Below are 8,046 nucleotides of genomic sequence, written 5' to 3' on the forward strand. Positions count from 1 at the left end.
ATGTGAGACTTGTTCAGTATTTCACTGTCAGCACAAGGAAGACCAGAAGAGTCTTGCTCCAGGACTCTCAGCCATCTGCCTGGTATGGTCAGAGGGTGAATAGATCTTCCGACTCCAACAAGGCTTGAACTCTTAAGGATCTGTGGTGCTTCATCTCCATTGATGGCCCCAGCTCGGTAACTATAGCTGGCACATTTCCTCTGTGAAATCAGTACTTTGGGAGCAGACCATTCTGAATAAAATTGAGAAAATCAAAGCTTTGCACTCCAGATTGATAACAGAGTGGTTCTCCAGAGGCCTAGACTACCCTTCACTCTTTTGCCAGAGTGAAGGCCTGGAATCGAGGCTGTTTCTCCTCTGTCCCTGACTTCTGGAGATTTGCTTTGGCTCCTTGAGGTGGAAGAGGTTAAAAGGAAAGCTGCCCAGTGCAGCTCTGTGTGTACAACCTGGCTCCTCTCAGGCTTTCTGATTCCTTCCCTTGCACTGTGCCTTATCCCTTAGCCAGCCAGATGGCTTCCCCACTCCTAATCAGCAAATACATTCTAGAGTGGTTGGTGTGGTTTTGCAATTAGGGTAGCATTTAGGGTGCCCAAGGTGGGCAGGTTTCACAGCTCACTCCACCTTTGGTTCACCTGGCTCTCAGCCTTGCCCTTTGGGAACGGCAGGCCAGCCAAAACCAGCAAACCATGTTCCACAACATCTTCCCCTTAGGAGGAAAGGCCAGCTACCAGTTGAGTCAGTTACTAGTCCATTGGACAGCCTTATAACTGTGTGAAGCCAGGAACTGTTCATGAGCAGAGCTGGAACAGAGTTTCAGTCAGTAAGAAGGGGCATGACCCCCAGGATTGGGCAAGGAAAAAAGTTGGCTGCTATCTTTATGGTTCCACTGCACTGACCAAGTGTCCACATCTTAAATGTATAATGTCCATCCCTCATGTAAGAGTAGTTTCTGGCCCAAGACGAGACTGTCATTTCAATTGGAGAAGTGTGCTGAAGTAGACCAGGTGGAAAGGCCAGCAGTGCTGATGGCTCAGCAGTTGGGACCACCTGTTTTTGCCTTGCTCCCACCACTCTAGAGGGAGCCAAAGAGAAGGCTGGCTGTTGGGTGTCTGCGGATTGACAATGGGGCAGGGACTAGTACACCCATCTCCCTCTGGCCAAAGATGGGGTTTTGCCCACTATGTGCCTGTCAACACCCACCAGCAGTAATTCCCTGGACTTCCCAGATAGAGAAGTTGCAGGCAAAAATTTTAAAAGAAAAGATAAAACTATTGTTTTTGTAGGAGGTGGGAGGGGAGATGATGAAATAGTTTCAATTTTGTGTGTGTGTGTGTATGTGTTTGTATGTGTGTTTTCTTGAGGTGGTAGTCTGTAACTTTTTTTTCTTTCCTTTTATAATTTTCTTTCTTTTTCTTTCTTTTTTTTTTTTTTAGTAAGTTGCAGACGTCAGCTTAGAAAACTCCAAGGGGATGGGGGGCAGAAGCCTAAGGCTACCACCCCTTTATTTGCCTTCATGCTGCTGTCCCTTTTCCCCAGCTCCTCTCTAACCCCACGAGCCAGGCCTCAGACCTTCAGGCTAACTGATTCCCAGGAGCCACTGTTCTGATGTCAGCCTATAAGCAAAGGAGCTGGTGGTCCAGGTCTGGTGACCAATCCTTCTCAGCCCACTCAATCAGGGTGATCTCCACCTATATGTGGGAAATAAAACTACATCTGCTACCATAAGCCCCTTCCAGAATCCACCATACCCTGCTCTGGCCTATCTAAGGATACACTGCTCAGGGATGGGTTGGCAGGGCTACACACTCAGCTTTTCTGGTAAGCAGAGACTCAAGAAACCTCTGGGGTCCTGTTTTCTGGTCGTGTTATCCCAGAGGTGCACATCGACCCCTTGGATGTCTGAAAAGAGGGCATTGGAGGGAGGCCAGAAGTGCTGATGGTTCACTATACACCTTGCAGTCTTACTCTGCTGGTATAGTAAGCAGCTGCCCACCTCACCTCACCCTGCACTGTGGGCTCCTGAGTCAGCATATAAAGCTTTTGTAAATTATATTTTAAATACATGTTTTAAACTTGAAAAGGAAAAGAATAAATAAATCAGAAGACATTTTGCAGTGAGAAGGAATAGGTAGGAAAAAGAATGTGGGAACAACAAAGGAGGATAATTCTGTCAAGAAGTTTGTCCAGGCGCAGTGGGTGCAAATGTAGTCCCAGCTACTGGAGAGGTTGAAGGGAGAGAATGGCTGGAGCCCAGGAGTTCTGGGCTCTAGTATGCTATACCAATCAGGTGTTTGGCATCAATATGGTGACCTCCCCAAAGCGGAGAACCACCAGGTTGCCTTAGGAGGGGTGAACCTCCTTAGGCAGGTCAGAAACAGAGCAGGTCAAAACTCCTTTGCTGATTAGTAGTAAGATTGGGCCTGTGAATAGCCACTGCACTCCAGCCTGGGCAACATAGCAAGACCCCATCTCTAAAAAACAGAACAAGATGAAGATGAAGACAAAAATGAAGAAAAGGAGGAGGAAGAGGAGTGGAGGGATGACTAAGACTAAGGAATTCAATATTTGATAGAGGGATGGAGCATTTCCTCATCTGCTCTTGAGATGAGCACACTTGAGCATGTTTAAATGCCAGTGGAAAGGAGCCATTAGAGAGTGAAATATGGAAGATACAGGGAAAGGAGGTAGGTACCTGAAAGATCCATGTCCTCAAGAAAGTAGGAAGACAAAATTCAGGGCACTAGCACACTGTGCAGAATTAATGTTACATAGGGAAAGAGACTCATTATTTTCCTGAAGGGAAGGAAATGAGGAAAGTGGGTGTGGATGCAGATGAATTTGCAGATTTAGTCTAGGAGTTGAGAAAGGTACAGTCTAATGGATTCTATATTCTCTGAGAATGAAGTGAGACTGTCTGCTGTGGACAAGGGTAAAGAAGCAGAATTAGAGCTGTGAAAAGTAAAGAAGATCTGAAATAGTTCCTTCAGTGAATGGAGGAATGGTTGATTAGGGATTGATAGAAATTTTGCCTGTGGCACAAAGGGCGCTGATCAAGTCGGCGCTTGTGATTTTTGAGTGAAGCTCATCTAGGAAATTGTGTGATTTTTCTCCATCAGCCTACTATGGATTCAAAGAACTAGGAACGTGGATTCATTGAGGGTTGGGTTTTTTTCCTAGATGAGTCAATGGAAAGAAAACAGGCAAAGGAGTTGGTAAGACAATAGTTGATGTGACAGAGCATGAAATCCATAATGAAAAGAAAAGAGTGAAGAGAAGCCTGCTGAGTGAAAGGGAAGCAATGAAGAGAAGGTGAAAGAAGAATATCAGTGATATCAGACAGCAGCTGCCATGAGAGAGCTGGGTGGAAAGCTGAACAGAGAGGGAGCTATGGAAACAAACAATTCTATTGAGGAACTTAGCTGATTCCTTTGCTGAATTCTGCCTCTTTTCTTGCTCAATTGGGCTCATGCTATCTAGCTATAGTTAGAGAATTTTATATGATCATAAGTGGAAGTTTTTTTTCACAATTCCATGTTCAGATAATGGTAAATGCAAATATCAGCATGAGAAAATGAATGCAGTGGCTAAGGGCTCAGGTTCTGAGATTGGGTTATTGGGTTAAAATCTTGTCTCTCTTTTACCTATGAGTTGTATGGCTTTGAGTAAGTCATTTAACCTCTGTGAACCATGTTTTCCCATTTATAAAATTGGCATAAAATGGTATCTACTAAACATGGTTGAGTAAGTGAATACCCATATAGTATTTAGAATAGGTTGGGCACAGAAGTTCACACTTATAATCCTAGCATTTTGAGAGGTCAAGGTGGGAGGATTTATTGAGACCAGGGGATTGAGACCAGCCTGGCAACACAATGATATCCCATCTCTACCAAAAAAAAAAAAAGTAGTTTCTAGCACATAGTAAGTATTTAATAATTGTTAGCTTAATTATTGTTACCATTATTATTAATATTAGAACTCATGTCATGCTAGGGCCAAAAAGGCTTCTACTTATTTCATTTTACAAAAGCAGAACCTGATTGAGAAGTGCTGACATTCTCAAACTAGGCAGTAGATCTAGGTCTAAGTAAGTCCAGGTCTCTAGATTTCCATTCCTTCTCTGTCTTTTCTGTGTCATGATGTTTGGATCTCATCTACTTATAAGGAGCCAGCCCTGCCCATTGTAATGTGTAACACAGAAATAAAGCCCAGCAGAGACTTCCATGGGCTTCTCACATGCTTTCACCATAGACAGTCATGCACAAGAAGCAGCCCAAGGAGACCCAGAGAGCTATGGCAAGGTCAACTGCCTCTTCATGTGCCTTGTGCCATCTTGTTGTCATAACAAAGAAAATTGCACTTTCACAGGCTTCAGTGCATTTTCTGTTGTTCTATGAAATGCAGCCAGCAGCCAACCCCAATCAATTTACTGTCCTGTCCAGATGGTGGAAGAAAAGACATAATTGAAGTCATTGATGGTATTTTAACATCAGGACTCTGTAAGTACTGACACTTTTCAGCCTTTGATTGTTTACAAAGTCTTCCAGCCTAAATTGAATGTAGACTGACCTGTCCTGCTCTGAAGTAATGGAGCTAACACTAAGAAAAATTGATGATTGCTTTCTCCACTCCTATGCCTCCAAAGATTGTGTGCCTAAATTTTTCTGACTGATGGCCTCTGGGTCTGTTGAGACTTAGGCAATTCTAGTTGGGATGTATGTCACCTCTAACACTTTCCTAAGTTGATTATTGAAGAACTTAACCTGAAGCCTTGGAAATCATATTGGGTAAATTATGCTGATGAGATTTCCAATTTGATTTTGGGTTCAGGTGGCTCAATTTAGTTCAAATCCCTGTGTACTTCCCATCAGAATCTTGATTTGTATTTTTTCAGCTGTAGCACCAGCCTTTCTACACAATAGTCACGATTTTTGTTTTGTGGTTCTTTTCCCTTTCTAAGTGAAATTAGAAACAAAGGCAATGTGAATTATTTATAAGTGCAATATTTGCTATCATGCTATGCATTTAGGTTTACCGCAGTAGTTCTTAATCTTCACTGTGCATCAGAATCACCTGGTCAGCTTTTTAAAAACAGGGATCTCTGGGTGTTGTTTTTAAATATTTATTAGGTGTTTTAAATGTATAAGCAAGGTTGAGAATCAATGCTCTGGATCTATGCTTCCCTCCTATTAAAAGAGTGATGTGGCTTTCTTCCAGATATAGCACCAGAGGGCTGCAGACATAGGGAGCTTTAAGGTACATGTGAATTTCATTACTACCCAACTGATCATTCTTACTTCTCAAAGTGTGATCTGCAAACCAGCACCACTGACCCATGGGCTTGTTAGAAATGCAGACTTTCAGGACAATATTAGCAATAAGCCCAAGTAGATCCCCAATGGGCTGACAGATGGGAAAAAATGTCAAATAATTTATTCATGGTTTAGAAATATATTCATGGCTTTGCTTCATTTAACATTTCATCAATGATTTGGATGAAGACAGGACATAAGTAACAAATTTGAAGATGTCTTCTAACTGGGGAATATAGAAAACATCAGACGACAGATTCAGTATTCAAAAGAATGATGTTCTTATTCTAATATGAAATATTCAATAGATTTAAGTGAAAGGCCAGCATCTGAGTTAAGAACAACAACTGTCTGTATAATTGTAGGAGAGAGTTGACTGAATAATATCACTTATCGATAAAGTTTTTTTTTTTTTTAGAAGGAGTCTCATTCTGTCTCCCAGGCTGGAGTGCAGTGGCACGATTTCGGCTCACTGCAGGCTCTGCCTCCTGGGTTCATGCCATTCTTCTGCCTCAGCCTCCCGGGTAGCTGGGACTACAGGCACCCGCCACCATGCCTGGCTAATGTTTTCGTTTTTTTGTATTTTTAGTAGAGATGGGGTTTCACTGTGTCAGTCAGGATGGTCTCGATCTCCTGACCTCATGATCCACCTGCCTGGGCCTCCCACAGTGCTGGGATTACAAGCATGAGCCACCGCGCCTGGCCTATAAGGCTTTTTTTTAGTTGAAAAAGTCAGTGTAAATAATCAGTCATGTGAAAAGCCTGCCCCTCTCCCCAAACTAATGTGATTTTTGTTTGAATTAGAATCCAAAGCTCCAGAAAAGGGGTGGGGGAGGTAACTGTCACTCTATTCTGTGCTGAACAGACAGTAAAGATAAACTGAGTTATGTGCATGAGACTTATGACCATGGTGGTGGATATTTAAGCTGGAGAATGAGGCTCTGTTCCAGAAACAAGGTAGAAAAATGGATCCTGAGGTATGTTTCAAATATCTAAAACTCTCCTATAAAAGAGACATGTGGCCTTCTTCCAGATCTAGGGTCAGAGGGCTGAAGGCACAGGGAGCAGAAATCAGATTACATAAAGAATCAACATGTAAACAATCTGTGCCATCTGAAGAACAAATGAATATACTTGTGGGATGGTGAATTTTTTTATCCCTACAGGCATTCAAACAAAGGCTGAATGGTCACTTACCAGATCCACTGCTAAGGAGACCATGTACCATGGGAAAGTGTTGGACACAGTCACTGCTAAGATAACTTCCGCTTGCTCAGGTCTCTGAAGTCTTAAGATTTGTCCATAGCTTGGTTGTGGAGAACTGTGTTCCTGTGTCAACTTGGAGCTGAGATCCCACCATACCTGGATTCTCAGGGTTATAGTATCTCCTATTAATCCTGTTTTCTTCTCTATACCCCTATCAACTCTAAATGTTTATGGTTTCTTCACCTTCTGTCTCCCAAAGCCAAGCAGAGATATTAATAGAAGCCTAAGCTGTGGAGGTTTGAGAAGGCCTTTGAAGCTATCGAGCTGCTGCTCCCAATTTCCACCAATTGCTTAAATCTCATCATTAAACATTAAGAGCTCTTCTGGTGTTTTATACCAGTCACTCCTTTTAAAAACATAAAATACTTAAAAAGAAAATTTGAGTTAGGCCTTTTTTAGTCTTTAATTTTTCTGTTTATAAACATTTAAATAAAAATTTTTTAAAAGCTATAAAAATGAAAGCAAAAATCTCTGGAAATGCTACCACCCAGAAATAATCACTATCAACATTTTGGTGAGCATTCTTCCAGACCTCTCTCTGTGCATACCACCATATGCCTTTCTAGATCCATAGAAAGATAATTTTACATAGGCAGCTTTGTATTATGTATGTTCCTTTGCCATCTGCTTTTTATATGCAATATTATGTTGTTGAAATACTTCCATGTTAGTGGATGCTTTTTAATGCTTTGTATGGATTTGAATATAACAGTTGTAAAGCCATTTAAATAGAATATAGTAAAAATTTTAAGATGCTGCTCTAGTCTGAATGTTTGTGTCCCCTGACAATTTATATGTTGAATCCTAATCACTAATGTGATGAATTAGGAAGTGGGGACATAGGGATGTAATTCAGTCATGAAGAGGAGCTGTCATGAATTAGCTTACTGTCCTTATAAAAGAGGCCCCAGAGAGCTGCCCTGCCCCTTCTACTATGTGAGGATACAGCAGGAAGCTATTGTTCTATGATCCAAAAGTAGGCCTTATCAGGCACAAAATCTTCCAGATCTTAAACTTACAGCCTCCGGACTGGAAAAATCAATTTCTATTGTGTGTAAGATACCAAGTTTGTGGTATTTTGTTACAGCAGCCTAAACGGACTAAGATAGATCCATGCACTTGTTCTTTTAAAAATGGGCTACTAAAAGAATATGGTGTCCAAGGTGATGCAATTTCAACTCCCTTCCTGAATGACAGCAGTCCTCAAGAAGACATGCACATGATTTTGTGGTGAGGCTTCATAGGATGCTGGGAATAGCTGGAGTTGTGAGGCTTAAATGAAAATAATGTAAGTAAAAATGCTTTCAAACCCGTGCTCCATTTTATGTAGATATTGTTTTAACAAGTTTGATTATTTAATAATTTTCTTTTACAAAAGAGTATATATCAGAAAATAAAAGCCAGTCATAATCAAGACCATCCATGCCAAAAAGACCACCCAGTGTAACAAAATAAAACGACCCATTTT

General features: G+C 41.5%; 1 pseudogene; it reads left to right on the forward strand.

Annotated features, from left to right (window-relative positions):
* RN7SL643P (RNA, 7SL, cytoplasmic 643, pseudogene) lies at positions 2,184-2,473 on the forward strand (annotated as a pseudogene).

This window comes from Homo sapiens, chromosome 6 (assembly GCF_000001405.40).
Source record: "Homo sapiens chromosome 6, GRCh38.p14 Primary Assembly".
NCBI classification, from domain to species: Eukaryota; Metazoa; Chordata; class Mammalia; order Primates; family Hominidae; genus Homo; species Homo sapiens.